The 26347-nt window shown below is 58.7% G+C and overlaps 1 protein-coding gene and 1 long non-coding RNA gene across 3 annotated transcripts, besides 3 other annotated features; one reads left to right on the forward strand and one right to left on the reverse strand.

The window, feature by feature from the left end:
* Positions 1 to 3622: 3622 nt before the first annotated feature.
* On the reverse strand, positions 3623 to 24613 carry LINGO3 (leucine rich repeat and Ig domain containing 3). Its single transcript, NM_001101391.3, has 2 exons — positions 24535 to 24613; positions 3623 to 8281 (listed from the first exon to the last, which is right to left on the reverse strand). The coding sequence occupies exon 2, from the start codon at positions 8233 to 8235 to the stop codon at positions 6457 to 6459; it is 1779 nt and encodes a 592-aa protein (NP_001094861.1). The 5' UTR covers positions 8236 to 8281; positions 24535 to 24613; the 3' UTR covers positions 3623 to 6456.
* Positions 6385 to 6494: a silencer, noted in NCBI's record as "silent region_9783". NCBI's record gives its function as "represses an Ori minimal core promoter by ATAC-STARR-seq in GM12878 lymphoblastoid cells {active_cell/tissue: GM12878}" and the evidence as "EXISTENCE:reporter gene assay evidence [ECO:0000049][PMID:35858748]".
* Positions 6955 to 7024: a silencer, noted in NCBI's record as "silent region_9784". NCBI's record gives its function as "represses an Ori minimal core promoter by ATAC-STARR-seq in GM12878 lymphoblastoid cells {active_cell/tissue: GM12878}" and the evidence as "EXISTENCE:reporter gene assay evidence [ECO:0000049][PMID:35858748]".
* On the forward strand, positions 18591 to 20684 carry LOC101928572 (uncharacterized). Of its 2 annotated transcripts, none has more exons than XR_007067088.1 (2): positions 18591 to 19739; positions 20044 to 20684. It is a non-coding gene; the product is annotated as an uncharacterized LOC101928572 (long non-coding RNA). The 2 variants fall into 2 exon arrangements; XR_936243.2 differs by having other exon boundaries at positions 18777 to 19739; positions 20018 to 20684.
* Positions 18922 to 19011: a silencer, noted in NCBI's record as "silent region_9785". NCBI's record gives its function as "represses an Ori minimal core promoter by ATAC-STARR-seq in GM12878 lymphoblastoid cells {active_cell/tissue: GM12878}" and the evidence as "EXISTENCE:reporter gene assay evidence [ECO:0000049][PMID:35858748]".
* Positions 24614 to 26347: the final 1734 nt, after the last annotated feature.

The following is a 26347-nucleotide window of genomic DNA, read 5'->3' on the forward strand; positions in this document are numbered from 1 at the left end:
AATTTTTATTTTATTTATTTATTTTTGAGATGGAGTCTCACTCTGTTGTCCAGGCTGCAGTGCAGTGGCGCAATCTTGGCTGACTGCAACCTCCGCCTCCCGGGTTCAAGCAATTCTCCTGCCTCAGGCTCCCAAGTAGCTGGTACTACAGGCGTGCACCACCACACCTGGCTAATTTTTGTATTATTATTATTATTTTTAGTAGAGTTGGGGTTTCACCGTGTTGGCCAGCCTGGTCTCGAACTCCTGACCTCAGGTGACCTGCCCGCCTCAGCCTCCCAAAATGCTGGGATTACAGGCGTGAGCCACTGCGCCCGCCACAGAGTTTAAAATGATGCAAAGGCTGGGCACATGCCTGTAATCCCAGCACTTTGAGAGGCTGAGGTGGGTGGATCACTTGAGCCCAGGAGTTTGGTACCATCCTGGGCAACACAGTGAGACCCCATCTCTACAAAAAATAAAACATGAGCCTGGCACAGTGGCGTGTGCCTGTGGTCCCAGCTACTCAGAAGGCTGAGGTGGGGGCATTGCTTGAGTCCAGGAGGTCGAGGCTGCAGGGAGCTATGATCATAACACTGAACTCCAGCCTGGGCAACAGAGTGAGACCCTATCACAAAAATAAATCAATAATAAATAATAAAACAATGCAAAAACAGACAAACATGCACCTCAGTAATCAAGATAAACATCATTTTACTGAATGTTTCACAAAACCTAACCGGCAAACTATGGGCCGAGCCTCTGTTTTTGTCAATAAAGTTTTATTGGAACCCGGGTGGAGGAGCAGGGTAAGGCAAAGAGAAGCAGGGTTAAACAAGTGCAGATCAGATCCTGTCTTTATTTAAAATATTGATAGGCCAGGTGTGGTGGCTCATGCCTGTAATCCCAGCCCTTTGGGAGGCTGAGGCTGGTGGATCACCTGAGGTCAGGAGTTTGAGACCAGCCTGGCCAACATGCTGAAACCCCATCTCTACTAAAAATACAAAAAAAAAAAAAAAATTATTCGGGCATGGAGGTGGGTGCCTGTGATCCCAGCTACTCTGGAGGCTGAGGCAGGAGAATCGCTTGAACCCGGGAGGCGGAGGTTGCAGTGAGATGAGATTGCACCACTGCACTCCAGCCTGGGTGACAGAGCAAGACTCCGTTTAAAAAAAAAAAAAAAAAGGCTGGGCGTAGTGGCTCATGCCTGTAATCCCAGCACTTTGGGAGGCTGAGGCAGGCAGATCACCTGAGGTCGGGAGATCGAGACCATCCTAGCCAAGATGGTGAAACCCCGTCTCTACTAAAAACACAAAATTAGCCAGGCATGGTAGCCTGCACCTGTAATCCCAGTTACTCGGGAGGCTGAGGCAGGAGAATCGCTTGAACCCGGGAGGCAGAGGTTGCAGTGAGCTGAGATCGTGCACTCCAGCCTGGGTGAAACTCTGTCTTCAAAAAAAAAAAAAATGTTGGTAGCGTGGTGTGGCCTCTGGATCAGGCCCCTCCAGATCCTACAGCTGTCCTTTCATTTGAGAAGCCCTTATTGAGCCATGGGAGCTGGGGCCACATTTTCTCTGGATCCCCAGCATCACCCAGTACGGGGCAGGGCAGGGATGCCGTATGCTGATGGATTTTTACATGACATCGGCCTTTTGGAGAAAAATGCCTGTGTTTTGTTTGTTTGAGACAGGGTCTCACTCTGTAGCCAGGCTGGAGTTCAGTGGTGCGATCTCGGCTCACTGTAACCTTCCCCTCCCCGGTTCAAGCGATTCTCCTGCCTCAGCCCCCTGAGTAGCTGGGATTACAGGTGGCCGCCACCACGCCCAGCAAATTTTTGTATTTTCGAAAAGATGGGGTTTCGCCATGTTGGCGAGGCTGGTCTCGAACTCCTGACCACAGGTGATCCACCCGCCTCGGCCTCCCAAAGTGCTGGGATTACAGACGTGAGCCACCATGCCCAGCCTATTGCAGGACTATTAGCTTCCAAATTACAGACAAACAAACCGAGGCACAGAGAGGGGCAGTGACTTGCCCCAGGCCACACAGCAATGGAAGCCGGAGACCTGAGCCTCCAGCTTCCCTTGGCTCCACAAGCAAAAGCTCACATGTGGGAATTGTGCCTCTGTCTTGTGGAGGAAAACAGGAGGAAGTTCATACGCAGGGCTCAGGAATCACCTGGAAAAGATGCCGGCTTGTCGGGGGATGTGGGAGAGAGAGAGACACCCCAAACGCGTGTCCCTGTCCAGAAGATGGGGGTGAGAGATCCACGAGGGTGCCGGCATGGGCTGGGGCACCCCGAGTGCTGTCCTAGCTCCGTCTGGGAGGGGAAGTCAAGTCAGGCTTGGTCAGAAGCCACCCAGACATGGGGCGTGAGGATGGCTTGGTCTGGTCCTGGTTTTAGGGGTCCCCTCTTAGGTTTCCAGCCACCAAGGAGATGGGTGTTACTTTAGCTGGGTCTTGGCTGCCTGAGCAGGGAGGGCCTCTCAGCTGGGGTCTCCCCTGCCCTCCCCCGAGTGCACCCCATAAATGAGTCAGGGTTCATGGAAACCTTGGAGGTTGCACCTGGTTCATGTCAGGCACTCAGAGCATTGCACAGGGAAGAGGCGGCTCTCCTGGACGGGGACTCTGAGGCCTACAGGACAATAGTTTCACCTGCCTTTGCTGTAGGAGAGAACGGGAAATCAGTCCCCACGGGAGAGTCCCACAGCTTAGAGCCCCCCTCACCCTCCAGCTGCCTTGAAACCAGGCATGGAGAGAGGGCCGCCTCACAGTCCCTGACAGGCCTCTGTTCTGCCCCCGAAGGGCAGGGAAATAAAGGAACCTTAGTCCCAGGTTCAAATGGGGGAACCGAGGCCCAGAGAGTGACACTGGGCTGTGGCGAGTGGGAGACTGCTCTTGGCCGGGTCTTCTGCATCCTAGTTCCGTCCACTTCCATCCTGAAAAAGCACAAGCTTCTCCCTGTGCCTTCCCGGGCGGGTGGGGTTTGAGACTTCATGCCCACTGTGCCTCAGTTTCCCCACCTGTCACCGCTCCGTGCCTCGGTTTCTCCATCTGTTGCCGCTCTGTGCCTCAATTTCCCCATCTGTCAGTGAGGACTGGGGTGGGGCTAAAGCACTTTATTAGTCTCACTTCCAAAGCCAAGACTCCCTGGCTTTTCTCGGAGCCCTCAGAGACAGGCAGGGCAGACATGGGACCCTGTCAGCAGCACCCAGACTCCCCGACAGACCAATTCCAGGAGGCACAGTGGGGACCCATGTCTTCTTTCTTCCCCGGCCTGAGTTTGGGGCAGGAGTTTCCCAATGGCCCAGCTTTGCCCACTCTTCTCAGCCCCCACCTGTCCCCAGCTGGGGTCTCAGAGCGGCTTCCCTCCACCCTCTGCCCCTTGCTCGACCCATCTGTAAAATGGGTTCGTTAGCAGGACCCACCCAGCTCACAGGGCTGGCCTCAGCGTGAAAGGAGGGAACACACACAGCGCCTGGAACAGCGCCGGGAACAGCATGGGCGCTGCAGAAGTGTGGCCTATCACATGTCACTAGTGGCGTGGAATTCCCTCAGGGTTGGCTTCCCCTGGGGACCCCAGCAGCCCCTCATCCCTCAGCCCTGCCCCCTGTTGCTCCCATGGGAGTAAGAACAAAATCTGAAGTTTGTTATTAAATCGGTTCCATTTTTATTGGATTTGAACCAAATACAGCAGGATGAGGGGTGGGGGTGCTGAGGGGTCTTAGTTCATGTTGGGATGGGGTGGGGGGCTCAGGGGGCTGGGAAATCCTAATATACGGATGCTCTGTGAACCCTAACCTGGCCGAGAATGCACCCCCTCCTGTCTTTGATAGGCTAAAGGCACTTGGATATCAATTCTGGGGGGCCCTTGGGGTTGTCATGGTAAGCAGAGTCAGACAGGTGCTAAGAAAAAAATTGGTTCTGCCCAATTCAGGGGTGGCGGTTGGGGTTGCACGAACTTCAGCCCTCACTCATGTCGAGCCCCCTGGGCCATCTGTACATCGTGGTGCTGGCCTGGGCCCTCCCGGCCACAGCTCAGGGAGAACGGGCTGTTGTCTCCTTCCAGCTCCTTCTGAAACTTTTGCTCAAAGCCTTCAGGGCTGAGCCAGCTTTCTCTCTGTTTCTCTCTGGCTGATCGATCTCAGAGCAGTCTTCAGGGATCCAGGATCCAAGTCAAGCCATCAAGCTCATCTGCAGGCCTGGCCTCTGAATACAGGGTAATAGGTTTGACCCTCAGACCCATTTTACAGATGAGGACACTGATGGTCTAGGTGGTCTTCAGTCACCAGCTGAGATCACATAGCCGGGCAGGAGCAGAGCTGCTTTTGAGCCCTTCCCGCAAAGTCCTGGAGGGTCTGTCCTAACCTCTTGGTTGGCAGCCAAGCCCCTTTCTGGCTGAGGTTTTGGCCCAACAGTGGTTCCTGTCCCTGCCCCCAGCAATGTCCTAACTGTCCTCTGGAGGATGTGGAGGGGAGGGGCAAGAACTGGCTGTGAGGAGGCCAGGTCACAGATGGTCCCTGTGGTCCCGGTCTGGTGCCTGAATCCTTCTGCAAAACCTCAGCTCCTGCTTGTTTGCCCCCCGTGACAGGATGCCCACCATCTGCAGAGCAACCGGGCGGTGACCTCAGGGAAGCTCTTCCTTGACCAGAGCTGCAGTCGGCCTGTGACCCCAGCTTTGGTCCTGGATCTGCCCCACCTCTGCAGGTGCAGAGACCCAGCTTCCTCCATCACCTTCTCCCGAGGACCCGGGTCCAGGCCTCCCTGCAGGGTGAAGCCCTTGTTCCGGCCTTGTTCTTGTCACTACACTGCACCGCACGTAGCCGGGATCCCCGGGAACCCCCTGTGCTCTTTGGTCTCGTTCCCCACCTGAGCCACGGGTCAGCAGGGCCGGCCATGATGGGGCCACGCTCAGGGCTTGTCTGAGGCCGGCTCAGAGGTCATGTGTACCTAGGGGCAAAAGTCCCTCCAGTAGACCCATTTGGAAGGACACTCAGCACCCCAGAAGCCATGGTTCTGGGCCGGGGCAGGGTGGCCACCTCTCCCTTGTGGGGTGGCCCTCTCTTGCCTGCTGTTCTGGGAAGCACGTGGCAGCGGAGGGAGGCGGAGGGCTGGGGTGATGGCTCCTTCTTGTGGACAGCCCTGCTGGGCTGTGGGGAGGACGGAGGACAGGGCGTGTGGACCCCTGACTGTGACCACCGTGTGTGCTGGGTCCTCAGCAAGACCTGAGCCCAGGCCCCGAGGTCGGCTGGGAGATGCTCAGCTGAGCAGGCGCTGGGGTGGGCTCTGTGTCCCAGGTGTGAGCTGTGTCTCAGTTATGCGTTGTGCCTGTCCCAGGTGTGAACTGAGCATGTCCCTGGTGTGAGCTGTGCTCTCACGAGAGCCCTGCCTGCCTCTGTGGTCAGCTCTGGTGCCCAGGGCTTGGTTTTAGTGTCAGCTGGGTGTGAGGGTGTGTGTCTCGGGTGTGAGCTGTGTGTGTCCCAGATGTGAGTTCTGTGTTCTGGGTGTGAGCTGTGTGTTCCAGTGTGAGCTGAGTGTGTCCTGGGTGTGAGCTGTATCCCGGGTGTGAGCTGTGTGTTCCACTGTGAGCTGTCCTTGTATCAGGTGTGAGCTGAGTGTGTCCTGCGTATGAGCTGTGTGTCCCGGGTGTGAGCTCTGTGTTCCGGGTGTGAGCTGTGTGTCCCGGGTGTGAGCTGTGTTTCCCGGGTGTAAGCTGTGTGTCCCGGGTGTGAGCTGTGTGTTCTGGGTGTGAGCTGTGTGTGTCCTGGGTGTGAGCTGTGTGTCCCGGGTGTGAGTTGCGCCTGTCCCGGGTGTGAGCTTTGCTCTCACGAGAGCCCTGCCTGCCCCCTGCGGTCAGCTCTGGTGCCCCGGGTCTGGTTTTAGTGTCGGCTGGGTGTGAGGTGTGTTGCACCTGTGTGATTGGGTTCCAGGTGTGAGTGTGTCTCTGGGTGTGAGGTGTAGGACGGCCAGGTGTGAGCAATGCAGACTTTCTGCGCACCCTCCCCTTGGGGCTGTGGGGCCCTTTGTGGGACCCGGGTGTCCACCGTCTCCCCGATGCGATCTGTGTACAAAGGGCTGGGGGAGCGGAAGCCCAGGGCTTGGGGGCAGCAGTCTTGTGCCTCCTGGGTGTGAATTGCGGGCCCTGAGGATCCTGGGGTCTCTGAGCGCCCCCAGCCACCCCGGGTTGGTAGACGGGAGCCCATCCCCCCATCCTTGCAGCCCGCACCCCCACCCCCCAGCTCAGCCACCATAGCAGGGACAGGAAGACGGGTTGAAATCTTTAGAAAACGCTTGAGAAACTGCAAAAAAGACGCATGCTGATGAAAAACAGTCCTGCGGTTGGGCGTCTACAAAAAAAGGGGAAGTTCTGCCTGGGGAGCGCCGTGCAGCCGTCCCCTTCCCCTCCGGGAAATGCATAGGTGGACACGCGAGCGGCCGGCCCGCGGGGGAGGGGAGGGGAGGGTCCGCCCTGGGGACCCCTCAGATCATCTTCATGTTGAACTTGCGCGCGCCTCCCTGGCCCGCCGCGGCGGCCGGCCCATCCACCTTGCGGAAGGAGTACTCCACCGAGAAGTTGTTTTTGTGCTGCCCGCGGCCGCGGCTCCACACGAACAGCAGCACGAAGCAGAAGAGGACCACGCCCAGGAAGGTGATGCAGCCCATGGCGGTGGACACCAGGATGGTGGTGAGGTCGAGCGGCGCGCGCAGGGCCGCCAGCGTCTCGTTGTGGGCCTCGCCCGGGGTCCGGTTGGCGGCCGGCTCGGGGCGCACGGTCAGCGTGGCGAAGTAGGTGTCGTTGCCGCCCGCGTTGCTGGCCACGCACGTGTAGGTGCCGCTGTCCTGCGGCCGCGCGTCCTGGATCTCCAGCGTCCCCCCGGGGAGCACGCGCGCCCGGCCCGCGCTGGTGGCCGTCACCGGCCGGTGCTGGGGGGTCACCCAGGCCACGGTGGGCGCCGGCTCGCCCTCGGCGCGGCAGAGGAAGCGGACGTCTTCGCCCGCGGTGGCCGTGACGCGCTGCAGCCGCCGCTCCCGGATCTTGGGTTTGCGGCACACGAAGTACTCGAACAGCACGGAGTCCGGCAGGTTTCGCAGCGCGTCGCCGCGCACCTCGGCCGGGGTGGCGCAGGCCGGCAGCCGCCCGTCGAAGTTGAGGGTCTTGCGACGCTGCACGATCCACAGCAGGCGACAGTCGCAGGCCAGCGGGTTCCCGTCCACGCGCAGCGTCTCTAGCGTGTTCACCGAGTGGAAGGTGCTCTCCTCCAACGTGGAGAGCAGGTTGTTGGAGAGGTTGAGCAGGCGGATCTGGCGCAGGCCCAGGAAGGCCTGCGGCTCCACCACAGCCAGCAGGGCCCCGGCCAGGTGCAGCTCGCGCAGGCGGACCAGGTCCCGGAACGACCCCCGCGGCACCGTGCTGATGGGGTTGTGCGACAGATTGAGGCAGGTGAGGTGCGCCTGGTGCCGCAGCGCGGCGGCCGGCACGGCGGTGATGTTGGTGTGGGTGACCGACAGCGAGGTCAGGTTCAGGCCCCGCAGGCTGCCCGCCGCCACCTCCTCCAGCAGCGGCCAGTTGTCAATCTCCAGGTGCAGCAGCCCGGGCAGCCTGCGGAAGTTCTGGTCCTCCAGGGAGGCGATGGCCAGGTGGCGCAGCCGCAGGGCGCCCAGGCTGCGCAGATGGCCCAGCGACTCCCCGGACAGAGCCGTGAGGTTGCAGCGCTCCAGGGTCAGCTCCTCCAGGGCCAGCAGCCCCGCGAAGGCGCGGCGCGAGACGAATACCAGGTCGTTGTCGCCCACTTCCAGCCGGCGCAGGCTGTGCAGGTCCTGGAAAGTGTAGTCCAGCAGGATTACCAGCTTGTTCTCGCTCAGGTCCAGCAGCGTGAGGTTGTCCAGGCGCGTGAAGACCCCGGGCGGGATGAGCTTCAGCTGGTTGCCACGGAGACGCAGGACGCGCAGGCGCGGCAGGTTGGCGAAGGCGCCGGGCTCCACGTGCGCGATGGCGTTCTCGCTCAGGTCCAGCTCCTCCAGCGCGGGCAGCGCGGCCAGGTCGCCCGGGTTCAGGCAGCGGATGCGGTTGCGGCTGAGCTCCAGCAGGCGGGTCTCGGCCGGGATGCCGTCGGGCACGGCGGTCAGGCGGCGGCGCGTGCAGGCCACCGCGCGGGTCTGCACGGTGCACTCGCAGCGGGCCGGGCAGCCTCCAGCCGGGGGCGGCGCCGCGGGCAGCAGGAGCAGGGGCAGGCTCAGGACGCACAGCCAGCAGGTCATGGTGCGGAGCGTGGGCCTAGGGCCGCGCCACCATCCTCCTGCGCACCTGCGGGCGGGCGGGGAGCGGGCAGCGTTAGCACCGTTAGCACCCCTCCGCGGCGCCTCTGCCGCCAGCCCGCCCCTAACCCGTCCCAGCACGGCGGCTCGCTCCTGTAAACCCAGCATTTTGGGAGGCTGAGATGGAAGAATTGCTTGAGTTCAAGAGTTCGAGACCAGCCTGCACAACATAGCAAGACTCCCATCTCTACAAAAAAATAAAAGATGAGCCGCATGTGGTGGTGTAGGCCTGTGGTCCCAGCTACTCAGGAGGCTGAGGCAGGAGGATGGCTTGGGCCCAGGAGGTGGAGGCTGCAGTGAGATATGCTTGTGCCACTGCACTCCAGCCTGGGCAACACGGTGAGACCCCTGTCTCTTAAAAAAAAAAAAATTAAAAATTAGCTGGTTTTCAAGTAATTGTGAAATATTGAAAAGTTTACCCAGGCATGGTGGCCTGCACCTGTGGTCCCAGCTACTCAGGAGGCTGAGCCAGGAGGATTGCTTGAGCCCAGGGGGTTGAGGCCACAGTGAGCTGTGATCGTGCCACTGCACTCCAGCCTGGGAGATAGAGCAAAAAACCCTGTCTCAAAAAAAAAAAAAAAAAAAAAAAAAAGCAGCATTGATCCACCGTGTGGCTGCAATTCCAATCTCCTGGGTTTTTTTGTTTTGTTTTGTTTGTGTTTGTTTGTCTGTTTGAGATGGAGGCTCACTCTGTCATCCAGGCTGGAGTGCAGTGGCTTGATCTCGGCTCACTGAAACCTCCACCTCCCGGGTTCAAGCAATTCTCCTGCCTCAGCCTCCTGAGTAGCTGGGATTACAGGTGCCCGCCACCACGTCCGGCTAATTTTTGTATTTTTAGTAGAGACGGGGTTTTACCATATTGGCCAGGTTGGTCTCAAACTCCTGACCTCAGGTGATCCACCTGCCTCCGCCTCCCAAAGTGCTGGGATTACAGGTGTGAGCCACCGCGCCCACCCGCTCCTGGGTGTCTTTGCATAAGAGAATGGAACACACAGCGCACGGAAAACCTGGGAACATTCACAGCCGCATCTGTAACAGCCAAACAGTGGAAAAGGCTGGAATGTGCCCCAAGGAATGGATGGGTCAGCACCGTGCAGCCACCCACACACGAACACGACTCAGCCATGAAAAGGAGTGAGGCTCTGACCCAGGCCACGGTGGGGATGCACCTTGAGGACGCCATGCTCAGTGAGAGACGCGACACAAAAGGCCACACTGTATGACCCCGTTTCTTTCTTTCTTTCTTTTTGAGACGGAGTCTTGCTCTGTCACCCAGGCTGGAGTGCGGTGGCACAATCTCACCTCACTGCAAGCTCTGCCTCCCGGGTTCACGCCATTCTCCTGCCTCAGCCTCCCGAGTAACTGGGGCTACAGGTGCCAGCCACCACGCCTGGCTAATTTTTTGTGTTTTTAGTAGAGACGGGATTTCACCGTGTTAGCCAGGATGGTCTCGATCTCCTGACCTCGTGATCCACCCTCCTTGGCCTCCCAAAGTGCTGGGATTACAGGAGTGAGCCACCGCGCCTGGCCTTTTTTTTTTTTTGGAGACAGAGTCTCACTCTGGCCCAGGCTGGAATGCAGTGGTGCGATCTCAGCTCACTGCAAGCTCCCCCTCCCCAGGGTTTAAGTGATTCTCCTGCCTCAGCCTCCTGAGTAGCTGGGACTACAGGCACCCGCCACCATGCCCAGCTAATTTTTGTAGTTTTAGTACAGATGGGGTTTTGCCATGTTGGCCAGGCTGGTCTTGAACTCCTGACCTCGGGTAATCCACCGGCCTTGGCCTCCCAAAGTGCTGGGATTACAGGTGTGAGCCACCGCGCCCGTCCGTGTGATCTCATTTCTATGAAATGTCCAGGACAGGCCCATCCACAGACAGGGAGATGACATTTGATCTCAGACCCTGTTGTAGGTGGAACTGTGTTCCCGCAAATGTTCAAGGCCGGGCGCGGTGGCTCACGCCTGTAAATCCAGCATTTTGGGAGGCCGAGGTGGGTGGATCACCTGAGGTCAGGAGTTCGAGACCAGCCTGGGCAACATGGGGAACCCCCGTCTCAACTAAAAATACAAAAGTTAGCCTGGCGTGGTGGCGCGCATCTATAGTCCTAACTAGGGGAATCTGGGGTGGGAGGATCGCTTGATCCCAGGAGTTGAGGCTTCAGTGAGCTGTGATCGTGCCACTGCGCTCTAGCCACTGGGCAACAGAGTGAGACTGTCTCAAGGGAAAAAAAAAGGTATGTTCACGTCCTGCCCTCCGTGCCTGCTGTGCACGGGACCTCATTTGGAATCAGGGTCTTTACAGATGTGCTCAGGGCTAGATGAGACTGCAGTGGATTACAGTGAGCCTTTTCCAACGACTCCTGTCCTTACAACAAGAGGGAGACTTGGACACACACCTAGCCCTATACAGGGGAAATAGAGCCGTGTGAACACGGAGGCAGAGGCTAGGGTGACACAGCCACAAGCCGGGGATTGCTGAGAGCCCCAGGAAGCCGGGAGAGGCAGGAAGGACGCGCCCCGGGAGCTTCCAGAGGGCCCCCGGCCCTGCGGACACCTTGATTTTGGACTTCCGCCTCCGGAGCTGGGAAGGCATATATTTCGGTTGTTTTAAACCCCCCGGGGTTTGTGGCGCCGTGTTCTGGCAGGAAACAGGCCGACCCAAAAGTTGAACAGAGCCCATGGTTTTCTGGAGGAAGGGTGTGTGGGCTGGGGGAACAGCCACGGCAGAGGCCCCGAGGTGTGGCGGGAGTCTGGTGAAGCTAAAGGAGAGAGTGGAGGGGGGCGGGGAGCTGGGTTAGGAGGGGCCTCTGGGTGGGGGGCAGATGACATGGAGCCGTGGTGGCCCAGAGGAACAGGCGCCAATGCTCCGTGGGTCCTGGTAGCTGTGCCTCCTGGGCTGTTTCCGTCTCTCCTGGGAGCCTGCTGCACCCTTACCAGCTCTTCTTGGCTGCAGCCAAGATTCTGGGGGCTGGGGTGGCGGGTGGAGGTGGGGTTGGAGGGAGCGGGAGGAAGCAGCCAGAACTACCAGGCGGCATTGCCCAGCTTCTTCTGCTTGGCCGCCTCCCCCGCCAGCCGGCCGGCTATTTTTGGCATCTTGGCAGCTGAGCCCCCCTCGGCATCCCCCCAGGCCCCGTGGCCCAAACCAGGTTGTGCGTCTCCTCACGGTTCCCACTGGCCTTCGATCCTCATTTGCTAAATATCTGCGAAGGCAGCTCCCGCCTCCCCAGTGCCTACGCGAATTTAATCCCAGAGCGAACAGACGCGGAGCCCCGGGAGACTGCTTCATGTCAGAGATGAATTGTACGTAAGTGAGGACAGGGTTTGTATCTTGCAGCTGTAATTCATTAAGATGAGGTCACGCAGGAGCAGGGAGAGCCCTAATTCAATGACTGGCATCCTTATAAGAGGGAAATCTGGACACAGAGACACAGGCAACGGCCAAGTCACAACACAGGCAGAGACTGGAGTGATTCATCCACAAGTCAAGTGACACCAGGGATGGCCAGCTACCACCGGAAGCTGGAAGAGTCAGAAAGGGTCTCCCCAAAAGCCCCCAAAGGAAGCTGGACCTGCTTGAGCTTCGACTTCCAGACTCCAGAACTGTGAGAGCAGCAGCTCCTCTTGCCCGGCGCGGTGGCTCACGCCTGTCATCCCAGCACTTCGGGAGGCTGAGGCGGGTGGATCACTTGAGGTCAGGAGTTCGAGAGCAGCCTAAGCAACATGGAGAAACCCTGTCTCTACTAAAAAATACAAAAACTAGCCGGGCGTGGTGATGGGCGCCTGTAATCCCAGCTCCTTGTGAGGCTGAGGGAGGAGAATCGCTTGAACCTGGCAGGCGGAGGTGGCAGTGAGCCGAGATTGTGCCACTGCACTCCAGCCTGGGCGACAAGAGGGGAAACTCCGTCTCAATAAATACATAAATAAATAAGGTGAAACGCCAAACTGAATTCTGGATTTAGGTGGACAGGACACATATGTACAGATGCCAAAACTGGGCATTCACATGCCACGTGGAACAGCACAGAGTGTGGTGGAAAGGAAGGTGTCGCAGGTGAGAATGTGGTCCCACCGAGAGAAAAGCGAGGGGCCCCTGGTTCCCAGGAGGCCTTGGTCCTCCTGCCCCCAGCTTGGGAACATAGGAAACTCGAGGGAGGGAGGAAGGGAGGGAGCGAGAGAGGGGGCATGCCCCCCCCAACCCCGGAATCATCCTTAATCCCAACCTGGGCATGTTACAGGGAAGGCAATCCTTCCCTCCCAGCAAGCTCCCTCCCAGCACTGTTTTTCTGGGTCATTCTCTCCCGAGCTGCTGCCCTGCCGACAGCACACTCAGGGGCTGTGTCACGGGAGGGGACAAGAGTGCTAGGGCGGTGATGGCACTTTTATCTGCCCCCCGACCCTGCACCTCCCCCCTTACTGTCCGCTCCACAGTGTTTACAAAACCACTGGTGAAAACCTGCCCACAGCCCAGGTGTGGCGGCTCACACCTGTAATCCCAGCCCACAGGCCGGGCGCGGTGGTTCACGCCTGTCATCCCAGAACTTTGGGAGGCCAAGGCGGGGGGATCACTGGAGCCCAGGAGGTCCAGGATGCAGTGAGCTGAGATCGCGCCGCTGCACTCTAGCTTGGGCAACAGAGCGAGACTCTGTCTTTTGGTTCTTTTTTTTTTGAGTTAGGGTCTCACTCTGTCGCCTGGGCTGGAATGCAATGGCATGATCTCAGCTCACTGCAACCTCCACCTCCTGGGTTCAGGTGATTATCCTGCCTCAGCCTCCCAAGTAGCTGGGGTTACAGGTGCCCACTACCACACCCGGCTAATTTTTGTATTTTTAGTAGAGACGGGGTTTCACCATGTGGGCCAGGTTGGTTTCGAACTCCACTTCAAATGATCCACCCACCTCGGCCTCTCAAAGTGCTGGGATTACAGGTGTGAGCCACCGTGCCCAGCTGCAAGACCCTGTTTTTAAAAAAGAAGAATAGGCCGGGCATGGTGGCTCACACCTGTAATCCCAGCACTTTGGGAGGCCGAGGCGGGCAGATCACAAGGTCAGGAGATCGAGACCATCCTGGCTAACATGGTGAAACCCCGTCTCTACTAAAAAAACATACAAAAAATTAGCCGGGCGTGGTGGCGGGCGCCCGTAGTCCCAGCTACTCGGGAGGCTGAGGCAGGAGAATGGCGTGAACCCGGGAGGCGGAGCTTGCAGTGAGCTGAGATCACGCCACTGCACTCCAACCTGGGCGACAGAGCGAGACTCCGTCTCAAAAAAAAATAAAAAAGAAGAAGAATAAAGTAAACCTACCCACAGCTCTCAGGCGAGAAACATCCATCTGTTGGCCTGCAAGACCCTACAGCAAGCAGCCCTCACCCCCACCCTAGACTCATCCAGATACTGCAAAAGCTCTTTCCTCTCAGTGCAGACCCCTCACCCTGCTCTGCTCCCCCAGGACCCGGGCATGCACCCTCCCTCCCCCCCTTTTTTTTTTTTTTTTCTGAGACAGAGTCTCGCTCTGTCGCCCAGGCTGGAGTGCAGTGGCATGATCTCTGTTCACTGCAACCTCCGCCTCCCAGGTTCACGCCATTCTCCTGCTTCAGCCTCCCGAGGAGCTGGGACTACAGGTGCCCGCCACCACGCCCGGCTAATTTTTGTATTTTTAGTAGAGACGGGATTTCACCACGTTGGCCAGGATGGTCTCGATCTCCTGACCTCGTGATCCACCTGCCTCAGCTTCCCAAAGTGCTGGGATTACAGGCATAAGCCACCGCACCCGGCCTTTTTTTTTTTTTTTTTTTGAAATGGAGCTTCATTCTTTTTGTCCAGGCTGGAGTGCAATGGCACGATCTCAACTTACTGCAACCTCTGCCTCCCGAGTTTAAGTGATTCTCCTGTCTCAGCCTACCAAGTAGCTGGGATTACAGGCATACGCCACCACGCCCAGCTAATTTTTGTATTTTTAGTAGCGATGGGGTTTCACCATGTTAGCCAGGCTGGTCTCAAACTCCTAACCTCAAGTGATCCACCCGCCTCGGCCTCCCAAAGTGCTGGAATTACAGTGTGAGCCACCGCGCCTGGCCTGTTTGTTTTTTGAGACAAGGTCTTGCTCTGTCGCCCAGTCTGGAATGGCAGGATCTCCTGGGAGGCCTTTGCCTTCCAGCTTCAAGCGATTCTCCTGCCTCAGCCTCCTGAGTAGCTGGGACTACAGGCGCCCGCCACCACATCCAGCTTATTTTTGTATTTTTAGTAGAGATGGGGTTTCATCATGTTAGCCAGGCTGGTCTCAAACTCCTGGGCTCAAGTGATCTGCCTGCCTCAGCCTCCTAAAGTGCTGAGATTATAGGTGTGAGCCACTGGGCCTGGTCCATTTTCTAAATTAGAGGTTTCTTTTTAAGTTGGAATTTATTTATTTATTTATTTATTTAGAGACAGGTTCTTGCTCTGTTGCCCAGGTTGGAGTGCAGTGGTGTGATCTCGGCTCACTGCAGCCTCCACCTCCCCAGCTCAAGCGATCCTCCCACCTCAGCCTCTCAAGTAGCTGGGATTATAGGCAAGTGCCAGCACACCTGGTTAATTTTTTCATTTTTTTGTAGAGATAGGGTCTCACTCTATTGCCCAGGCTGGTCTCGAACTCCTGGGCTGAAGTGATCCACCTGCCTTGGCCTCCGAAGGTGCCGGGAACACAGGCATGAGCCACCGTGCTGGGCCAATAATTTTTTTTTTTTTTTTTTTTTTGACATAGAGTCTTGCTCTGTCATCCAGGCTGGAGTGCAGTGGTGTGATCTCAGCTCACTGCAACCTCTGCCTCCTGGGTTCAAGAGATTCTGCTGTCTCAGCCTCCCGAGTAGCTGGGATTACAAGCACGCACCACCAGGTCTGGCTAATTTTTGTATTTTTAGTAGAGATGGGATTTCACCATGTTGGTCAGGCTGGTCTCGAACTCCTGACCTCGTGATCCGCCCACCTCGGCCTCTCAAAGTGCTGGGATTACAGGCGTGAGCCACCGCACCCGGCCCAAGAAATTTTTTTTAAAGCAGTTCCCATAGAGCACAGATAAGGGCAAAATCAGGAAGTTTCCTGGAGAGATGACAGGTCTGGAATCGCTAGGTCACAGTCACACTGATCCAGTGGCAGAAGTGCCTGCGGGAGGCCTCAATTCGGATGCGCTGTGTGACCTCTGTTGAGAAACCTACCCTCTCTGGACCTCGCCTGTCACGGTATAGGTACAAGAGCCCTCCGGGGCACCCTCCAAGCTCTGGCTCTATAATTACTCCTGGGATGAGAGGACAGCTGATCCCTCGCGCCCAGCAGGGGCCACTCAAGCTGTGACCTAGTTTTACAACCCTGACTCCCCCACTCGACGGCCTGGCCCTGTCATTTCCTCTGCAGGGTGCTGCCGGGGAGGCAGGAGGGGGGATCTGGCAGCTGGACTCAGGCTTCTGACATGTCCCCTAAGGGTCTGGTGTTCCCCAACTTGGGAGGAAGAACTGGTTCCTGGAGAGGGGACATGGGAGACTCGATTCTGTGTACACGGCCTGCATCTGCTCACCATGTGCCCTGAATGCATCCGGTTGTCCTCCCTGGTCTCTTATTTTTTATTTTATTTTATTTTTTTTTTGAGATGGAGTCTCGCTCTGTCGCCCAGGCTGGAGTGCAGTGGTGCGATCTCGGCTCACTGCAAGCTCCACCTCCCATGTTCAAGCAATTCTCCTGCCTCAGCCTGCCGAGTAGCTGGGACTGCAGGCGCCCACCACTATGCCCGGCTAATTTTTTTGTATTTTTAGTAGAGACGGGGTTTCACTGTGTTAGCCAGGATGGTCTCGATCTCCTGACCTGGTGATCCGCCCGCCTCTGCCTCCCAAAGTGCTGGGATTACAGGCGTGAGCCACTGTGCCCTGCCTTTTTTTTTTTTTTTTTTGAGACGGAGTCTTGCTGTGACGCCCAGGCTGGAGTGCAGTGGTGCGATCTCGGCTCACTGCAAGCTTCGCCCCCTGGGTTCATGCCATTCTCCTGCCTCAGCCTACCAAGTAGCTGGGACTACAGGCGCCCGCCACCACGCCCGGCTAATTTTTTGTATTTTTAGCAGAGATGGGGTTTCACCGTGTTAGCCAGGATGGTCTTACTCTCCTGATCTCGTGATCCACCGGCCTCGGCCTCCCAAAGTGCTGGGATTACCGGGGTGAACCACATGCCTGGCCTCTTTTTTTTTTTTTTTTTTTTTTATTGAGTCGGAGTCTCACTCTGTCACCCAGGCTGAGAGTGCAATGGCGCGATCTCTGCTCACCGCAGCCTTCGCCTCCCGGGTTCAAGGGAGTCTCCTGCCTCAGCCTCCTGAGTAGCTGGGATTAAAGGTGCATGCCACCACACCTGGCTCATTTTTGTAGTTTTAGTAGAGACGGGGTTTCACCTTGTTGGCCAGGCTGGTCTCGAACTCCTGACCTCAGGTGATCCACCTGCCTCAGCCTCCCAAGGTGCTAGGATGACAGGTATGAGCCACTGCGCCCGGCCCCAGGCTGATTCTTTAGGGGCCTCTGTCCCCTCCCTTGTCCTCATGCTGTGGTCCTGGGGGAAGGCGACACTTTCAGGGCTCTCTATCTCCATCCTCATCGGTCCCTCGGACCACCCCCCTCCCAGGAAGCTGCCACCCACCTGGGGCATTACCTCCCATCCTCCCAGGATGGGAACACCATCTGCTCACAGATACCTCCTGATGGTGTGTCCCAGCCACCTGAACTGCAGCCCAGGGACCCAGCCCCATCCCTGACCTCTCCCAGGGCGACCCACAGAACCCCAGCGTAACCCCGGCCACGCGGAGCCAACCCCAGCTCCACCCTTCCTCTCCCACAGGCCAGAGTCCTCCCTCGCTCTGGGCCTCCCGCCACTGCCAGGCCTCCGTCCCCCACCCCGAACTCCCCTCCTTCCAGCCGGGCTCCAGTTCGCCCCCAACATTCAACGCGCTCCTCCTGTTCTGGCATTGGTGTCCCCAGCTGCCAAATGGAACTGGAGTAGGGGGAGGATCAGGCCAGCCCCTGCAAACCGCGGTCTCCCCAGGCTCTGTGAACACTGGGGCCTGGTCGTTCTCTGGGGTGGGGCCGTCCTGGGCACTGCAGGGTGCTGAGAAGCGTCCCTGGCCTCCACCCACTCCATGCCAGGGACACCACAGATGTCCCCAGACTTTACCAAATGTCCCCTGGGAGCAGAATCACCCTGGTTCAGACCCTCTGGGTTAGGGGATTCCACAGACCCCCAAGAGACTCTGCATCCCACAATCCTCAGCCCTGCTGAGGTCCCAGGAGGCTGTGCACGTTGAAATCCACGCCCTGAGTGGGAGGGAGAGAGGAGGTGAATCCCAGGAGCTGGGGACCCCTGGTTTACACCGTCTGCCGGGTCAGGAGTTGATCCTGGTGTCTGGTGTGAGCAGGGGACAGATTTAGTGTTTTTTTTTTTAATTTAAATAATTAATGCAGGTCTCTCTTTCTTGGCCCCATGGACATCTTATGTGGATGACTCTCTGTCTTGGGCACTGCCGGGTGCTGAGAAGCGTCCCTGGCCTCTACCCACTCCAAGCCAGGAGCACCCCCTTCCCAGTCGTGACAGGCACAAATGTCCCTGGACACGGCCCAGAGTCCCCGGCGGGGCAGAACCTCCCTGAGTGGGTCCTTGCTGTAGAGGACGCTGGCACACAGTGCGCCTCCAGTTCATGCCCCAGGAGGAGCCAGGGTGATTCAGCCTGTTTTACACGGGGAGGCGGAGACCCAGAGACGGACGGCGACGTGCTCAGGGCCACACAGCAGAGAGGAAGCAGGTACAAGACGCGACCCCGGGGCTGGGTGCGGTGGCTCACGCGTCATCCCAGCACTTTGGGAGGCCGAGGAGGGCGGATCACAAGTTCAAGAGATGGAGACCATCCTGGTTAACATGGTGAAACCCCGTCTCTACTAAAAAATACAAAAAATTAGCCGGGCATGGTGGCGGGCACCTGTAGTCCCAGCTACTTGGGAGGCTGAGGCAGGAGAATGGCGTGAACCCGGAAGGTGGAGGTTGCAGTGAGCTGAGATCGCGCCACTGCACTCCAGCCTGGGCGACAGAGCGAGACTCCATCTCAAAAAAAAAAAAAAAAAAAAGAGGAAAAGAAAAGAAAATGTACCAGTTGCCCTTCGATGAACTGGAAACACAACAGAGAACAGAGGCCAGAAAGTCCCTGTTCTTTTATTTTTATTTATTTATTTGTGGGTAGTTTTTTTTTTTTTTTTTTTTTGAGACAGTCTCACTCTGTCATCCAGGCTGGAGTGCAATGGTTCAATCTAGGCTCACTGCAACCTCTGCCTCCCGGGTTAAAGCGATTCTCCTGCCTCAGTCTCCTGAGTAGCTGGGATTACAGACATGCGCCACTACGCCCAGCTAATTTTTGGATTTTTAGTAGAGACAGGGTTTTGCCATGTGCCCAGGATGGTCTCGAACTCCTGACCTCAGGTGATCAGCCCGCCCCAGCCTCCCAAAGTGCTGGGATGACAGGCCCTGAGCCACAATGCCCGGCCCCCTGTCCTTAAGGAGCTTACATTCTGGTGCGGGTGACACCGTGAAATCAGTGTACGGGACATCAGCTGGTAATAAACGTCACGGAGGTCAGAACAGCTGTGTCCTCGGGTGACGTCACCTCCTCGGCTCTGCGCCCCGCCGTCCACAGGCGCGAAGCCGGAGCTGGGGTTGGCGACCGAGAACCTTCCTGCCTCCCCTCCCCAGCAAGGGGCACGTCCCACCAGGCCCGGACTGCCCGTCTGCCCCTGCAGGGCCCCTCGCTCTGGTGGCGGGCTCGGTGAGCTCTGCTGCCCGGTCTCGGGAGTCTGGGGGAGCGCGGCGTCGACCCCTGTGGAGGGAGGACTCGTGTTTCAAGGACAGAGCCTCATTACCATGCACGACCAGCCGCAGCTGAGGCCGCAGAGGCCTTTGGCAGGGGGGCCGGGCCGGCGGCAGGGACGGCGTTGGCGGTGGTGGACGGGAGTGGGGGTCTGTCCTGAACAGGTGGGGGTGGTCCCTGTGCTGGCCCCCGCCATGCGATCGCACCCCAGGACTCTCCTCCTCTTCCTAAGCCCCAGCATGTGCCTGGTGCCGCGCGGGTGCTGGAGGCACAGCGGCTTCCACGCAGACGCCCGCAGCACCACAGCCTGTGCACGGCGCATCCACGCCCTGTTACAAATGTTCCATTCAACGCCTTCTAGCACATTCACAGATCGTCCGCCCGCACCTCTAGTTCCAGAACATTCCATCACCCCCAAAAGGAAGCCCCGTCCCCTTCAGCAGTCACTCCCAGCCCCTCCCCAGCCCGGACCCCCACCCATCTGCTTCCTGTCTCTGCGAATTGGCCCGTCTGGACATCTCGCATCAATGCAATCGGACTGGCTGTGGCCCCCAGGGACTGGCGTCTTTCCCCCAGCGTCAAGGTGGGGGCACAAACAGGTGAGAATCGTGCAGCCCAGCTAATGAGCAGATTGTCTGAAAAAAGCGCTGAGGAGCGGAGCTAGCAGGGAGCTGTGGGGGGGGGGGTCTGTTCCGGGCTGTGGCTGTGTTTGACGGGCCCAGGGAAGACCCTGTCTGAGCTGAGACCTGGATGGGGAGCCGGGGTCAGCAGGGTACAGCTAAGCGAGGGGCGAGGCTGGCCGGGGGTGTGTCTGCGCTTGCGGGGGTGGGAGCCCTAGCTGGCAACGGCAAAACCACACGGGGCACTGAACCCCCAGGGAGGTGTCCGGACTTGCATCCACAGGCAATGGGGAGCCATGGGAGGATATGGAGCAAGAGCATGGCGAGATCTGGGTTGCAGTTGGAAGGCGCGTCCAGCTCTGCGTGGTCCGACCCCAGGTCGCCCTGCCTCACCCAAACCTGGAAAGTCTTGACTCTCGGCTGCACCTCCATCTCCAGAGAGCAGGGCACTATTATCTCCCTCTCCACCCGGTTACCCACACGCAGAGCTGTGGCCAATGATGGAGCATGGGGAGGCTGAACTGGACACCAGGTGCTGAATCAATGGCCCCTTGTCCACTCCAGAGCCAGGACAAGAACTCACGGGTCCTCACCTGAATCGGCCACTGACTGCCTTGGGCAGAGACATCGAAGTCTCTGAGCCTCAGTTTCCTCTTCTGCAAAAGGGAACTGCAGGGTTCCCAGTCACTTCCCTGGGCTGAGCGAGTGAGAAGTCAGGCAAGGAGGTTCCTTCCGGGGAAGTCTCCATTGGGTGCCGGCTGGGGTCAGGAGCCCAGAGTCCTAGGCCCTGGTTTGCTCCTGGCCATGTGTTCACCTCATTCATTCATTCAACAAACATTCATTCAACAAGCATTCATTCATTCATTCAACAAGCACTTAAAAACAATGCCTGTGTGCCAGGCACTGGTTTTAAGAGAAACAGCAGTGAACAAAACAGACAAATCCCTGCTTTCTGTCTATGGGCAAGAAACAGAAGAAACAAGTAAAGCCGACTGTCACATGGCAGGCCATGGTATGGGAAAAAATAAACAGGGAAGGGGGGCCTGGGGTTGGCAGAATGGGGTTGGCAGAATGAAGGCCTCCCCACAGCCAGCCGGTTCTAATCCCCGGAACTGCAGATAAGGCCACCCTTACATGGAAAAAGGGCCTCTGCAGATGGGATTAAGTAAGAATTGTGAGATCAGGAGATCATTCCGGATCATCCAGAGGCCCAACATCTCACAGGGTCCTCACGAGAGGAGGCGGGAGGGTGAAAGTCAGAGACTGGAAGAGGCTGTGCTGAGGCTATGAAGGGATAGGGTGGGGCCCTGAGCCAAGGGATGCGGGTGCCTCTGGGCAATGGGAAAGATGGGAACCGGATTTTCACCTGGAATGCGCAGCAGGAGGGCCCAGCCTTGGCCATGTCCTGCTTTTTTTTTTTTTTTTTTTTTTTTTGAGACAGAGTCTCGCTCTGTCACCCAGGCTGGTGCGATCTTGGCTCACTGCAACCTCTGCCTCCCAGGTTCAAGTGATTCTCCTGTCTCAGCCTCCTGAGAAGCTGGAACTACAGGCATGAGCCACCACGTCCGGCTAATTTTTTGTATTTTCAGTAGAGATGGGGTTTCACCATGTTGGCCAGGCTGGTCTCGAACTCCTGATCTCCAGTGATCTGCCTGCCTCGGCCTTCCAAAATGCTCAGACTACAAGCGTGAGCCACCACACCCAGCCTCATGCCCTGGTTTTACGCCAGTGAGGCCCATTTTGGACTCTGGCCTCCAGAACGGTGCAATAATAAATGTGTGTGGTTCCCAGCCACTGCTGTCACAGCAGCCAGAACTCATCAGGGTCATTGCAGTCTTGAAGAGGGAGGTCGCTCGAGGCCTCCCGGATCTGTGCACCTGCCTTCTGGGGCGTGGAAGGCAGGGGACATTGACCTCTCCTTGGGGTCTGAGATCTGCACCAACCACGGTGCAGGCACCGGCCTTGAGGACCCCCTCCCCAAAACTGTCCCCCACAGCAGGACCTGGGCAATGGAGGCCTCTCTTCCCTGTACCCCCAGCTGTCCTTAGATATGGATCCTGGATTAATGGTCCTGGAAGCTCTTAGCTCAAGGAGAAGGCAGAGTGTGGCTGTGAGTGGCCGGGGTCCCTCCCTAGAACAGAGGTGGCCCTACCCTCTTGGTGCCTGGTGGTGTGGGCAGCTCCTTCCCTCAGCTCCTGGCTAAGCCCCCGGCCCTTCCAATCCGCCTCCTCTATTCTGAGCAGGGCTCTTCCCCTCCCTCTTGCAAGGTTACCTCAAACACATCCCCCTCCAGTCCCCGCCCAGGGCAAGGGATGCTGACATCTCCCTTGGGAAAGGCCCTCCTAGAGGCCGGCCAAACCCAGAGGGGGCAGGAGTGAGAAGTGTGGTAGCGGTCCCCTCTGTTTCCAGGCCCACAGTGACCTCCATCTCCCTCCCTCTGCCCCCCACCACAACCAGGGCGGTGGGAGTAAGGGGAGTGTGCTCTGGATGCCCCGTTTGAGCTTCTAAGACGGATATGGGAGGAGGGGGCCCAGCCCCTCACAGCACGTGGCCCTCCAAGGTCTGCTTTTGGGGACACGCTGCCAGTCCCCCAGGACCCCTGCATCCTCTGCCCTAGATCCAGGCCCTCCCGGGGCTTCATCCATGACAATTCATTAAGCCCTAATTAGCTTCCATCTGCTGTTAGTCCCCGTCAACCCCTCGAGGGGCTGGGGGCCTCCCGACCCACTTTCCTTCCCAGCCTGTACACGGGGGGCCGTGGACTGCCCTCTGCAGGCAGGGCCTCTGGATCTGGAACCAGTTTTGGAGCACCCACTGTCTACACCGGCCACTTCACCCACTAGCCCAGCCCTGACTAGGGGGAATAATAAAGTTCGTTTTGGAGAGAAGGAGACTGAGGGTCAGAGTGGGCCCCAGCTCACTGCACAACTTAGCTGCAGACAGTCAGCATTTGAACCTGGATCTGACGCCAGCTCCTACCCACAAAATCCCAGCTCCCCACTAGAGGGTGAAGGGCGCTCTTTGGAGGCCCGAGATTGACATGTGGTGGTGGGCGGCTTGATGGGGCCCACCCGGGGCCAACTTTGCTCGCAGAGTTCTTCAAGAGGCTCTACCTGGTGACGAGGTAGTGACTCAGGGGGCGCCGGGGAATGACAGTGCTGTGGGAAGAGACATCAAACTGCCTTCTATTCCCACTCAGCAAGGCACCTTCAGGTCCCGGCTTACCCTGGGGGTGGACGGCTGAGGCTGAGGGAGGCCAGGCAGGGCTGCTGCCGTAACCATCGTGACCTGAGCATCTGTTTTATGGTGGCACCACACTGCAGCCGAGGTGGGCAGCATCTCATTTAATCCCATGTGGGGTGGATCTGAGAGAGGGGACGTCATTTGCCGGAAGTCACCGGTGAAGACCAGACAGGCAGGGCAGGGAAGGCTGAGTTGAACCCTCCTAAGCCCCCATCCCACCGCCCGGCTGCCCCCTTCCTGCCACCCCACATCATCGAGATGGGGACAGGAGCTGGGTCTACAGGGGAAGCCCGTGGGTTCTTCCCACTCAGATCCTGTCTCCGACGATGGCTGCTGCTTCGGCTCAGAGAACAGCCAGGGTAAGGCCATGCCGCGGCAGCCCACCCCACACCAGCCTCCTGATAAAGCCAGCACCACCCTCCCTGAACCTGTTTCCAGCCTGCGTCCTCCACCTGACCACTCACACCTCACACCTTCTGCATCCTCTCCAGGCCACTTCCAGGGAGCCCTCCTGGGTTGCTCTGGTTCTCACAGCTCTGTTGTCCCTGAAGGCTCCCCCCAGCCAAGCCCCAGATCGTCCCTCTGCAAATACCACTGCACAGCAGACGCCCGCTCCCCACCCCCGCCGGAGCAAGGGTGTCTGCAGCCTCGCTGCGTCCATGGTTTAGCCAGGGACCGCTTGCTAAAATGCAGCTTCTGGGGCACATCGCCTCAGAAGTTCTGACTCCTCAGAACTGGGGGGGCCGGGACACCGGCACCGTTAGCGCCCCAAGCACACGTTGAGAAACCCAGTTACATGGTGGTCTCCAGCGTAAGGACCCGGGGCTTTTCTTGTGCCCGGACCAAGGCACGAGGTGCTGCTCCCCTAAACTTGTTGAATGGGACTCAGGGCCTCCCCTGGCCAGGCCCCAGAGGCCCGGGAGGTGGCGGCACCCACTCAGGGTGCCCAGGCCCACCATTTCTGGTGCTATTCAGACGCCCCCAGAGCAGGGGGACTCAGCCCTATGCCCCCAGGTCCCTCCCCGCCAGGCCGGGCCGTCAGCTCCAGCGATGGAGCAGGCTCCGGTGTGGACCCCAGATACCCTTTGCGTCTTCCAGCTCCGCACCCCCAGGCTGGACCAGACCCGGCTCGGGGGAGACAGGGCAGGAAGGCGCGGGCTGCAGGCTCTATTCGGACGTTCCCCACACCCCAGACCCAACCAGTGCCCCCTTCATCTCCTCCTGGAGAGGAGCGCATCCTCCCAGCGTCCCCAGTGCCCCGGGGAGATGCCCACCCGATTCCCCGCTCCTTGGCGCCCCAGAGGAGGGGCGGGGGGCCCCAGGGTGGGGAGTTCGCCCCCAAAGTTTCCAGGGGGAGCGTCGGGGGCCTGGCAAGGAGCGATGAGCCCGGGAGGGGTGCGCGGGGCAATTTCCCCCGGCTGAGGATGGGGTCGCGGGTTGGGGGCTTTGGGCGGCAGGGTCGCAGGGTGCAGGTGAGGGGTCCCCAGGTCTGCGGGCGCGCCCCACGCCGGGCCCCGGCACGGCCACTCACCTGGGCGGCTCCGCCGCGGACACGGCGCGGGCTGCGGCGCGGGGGCCGCCCGGAGCCGACACGAGCAGCCGCCGCCGCCGCCGCCGCCGCCGCCGCCGCCTCCCGGGCTCCGCCGTGCGCGCCGCCGCCGCGCGCAACCGCCCGCCGGTCTCCTCGGCGCGCCTGGCGGGGGCGCGCGGGGGCTGCGCTGGGCCGCGTGCGCGGCGGCTGGGGCCGCAGGTGTGAGAGGCCACGTGGGCGCAGGTGCGGGGACACTGGGAGCGCGGGTGCAGAACCCCTCCGTGCGCATCCCGGGCGCTTCGTGTCCGAGGACCTCCTGTCCCCACGGCCTGGGTGAGCCTGCGGAGACGGCCGTGCCGTGCAATAAACGCAGGGGCACCCCAAGTGCAGCAGGTTGTTCCGTGTGGAACCTTCTGGAAGCTACCATCGCCTCCTCTGCCCCCCGTCCCCCACCCCTAGTCCAGGCCGCCACCATCTGCACCTGGACATCTGCCACAGCCCAGCCCAGGCCCATTCCTTATGTGGCCCTCAGAGGAAGCCCCTCAGAGGAAGCTTAGCCACTGGGCTCCAGAACCTGCCGTGATTCCCTATTGCCGTGAGGGTCCCGTCTGCACCCCACCTACCCTGGAATTTCTCTTTCTTTCGTTCTTTCTTTCTTTCTTTCTTTCTTTTTTTTTTTGAGATGGAGTCTTGCTCTGTTGCCCAGGCTGGAGTACAGCGGTGCCATCTTGGCTCACTGCAACCTCCGCCTCCTGGGTTCAAGCGATTCTCCTGCCTCAGCCTCCCAAGTAGCTGGGATTACAGGCACCCGCCACCACGCCCGGCTAATTTTTGTATTTTTATTAGAGACGGATTTTCAGCATGTTGGCCAGGCTGGTCTCAAACCCCTGACCTCGGGTGATCCACCCACCTCGGCCTCCCAAAGTGCTGGGATGACAGGTGTGAGCCACCGCCCGGCTGCCTGCACTGTTTGGTCTGCCGCACCACCTCCTTCCCCCTGGCCTGTCCTCACTCACTCTTTCCCGGGCTCCACCCCCTCAGCCTTCCTCAAACAGGCCAAGTCCCTCCAGTCCCAGGCCTTTGATCTTCGCTGTGCCCAGCTTGGACAGCCTTTCTCTCTGTCCCTCCATCGAGCAGCTTGGAGCCTCTCAGTTTGTCTAATGGGCTTGTTCCCCAATGTGCCTTCCGCCTAGCACACAGCAGCGCACACACCAAGTGCACTGCGAGTGCTCATGGAAAGTTTTTTACCTTTTTTTTTGTCTTTTTTTTTTTTTTTTTTTTTTGAAATGGAGTTTTGCTCTCGTCACCCATTCTGGAGTGCAGTGGTGCAATCTTGGCTCACTGCAACTTCCACCTCCCGGGTTCAGGCGATTCTCCTGTCTCAGTCTCCCAAGTAGCTGGGATTACAGGCGCCCATGACCATGCCTGGCTAATTTTTGTATTTTTAGGGGAGATAGAGTTTCACCATGTTGGCCAGGCTGGTCTCGAACTCCTGACCTCAGGTGATCCACCCGCCTCGGCCTCCCAAAGTGCTGGGATGACAGACGTGAGCTACTATGCCCGGCCCCTCACTGCATCTTCTAAAAGCCACATTTAGCCTCCCTGTCTCACAGATGAGCAAACCAAGGCTGGGAGATGCCATTTGTCCCAAGTGAGGGGTGAGAAGGAGGCCTCGGGAACCTGTGTGTGTAACCTTGCCCTGTCTGCCCCCTTCACCCACTCTGCAGTCCTCCCCACCAGCTGTGTATTCCCAGTGGCTTTGGCGGTGGCCTGGCACTCACGCAGCCACCTGTGACTCAAGCAGGCTCTGTTC

The sequence above is a fragment of the Homo sapiens genome, chromosome 19 (assembly GCF_000001405.40).
Source record: "Homo sapiens chromosome 19, GRCh38.p14 Primary Assembly".
NCBI classification, from domain to species: domain Eukaryota; kingdom Metazoa; phylum Chordata; class Mammalia; order Primates; family Hominidae; genus Homo; species Homo sapiens.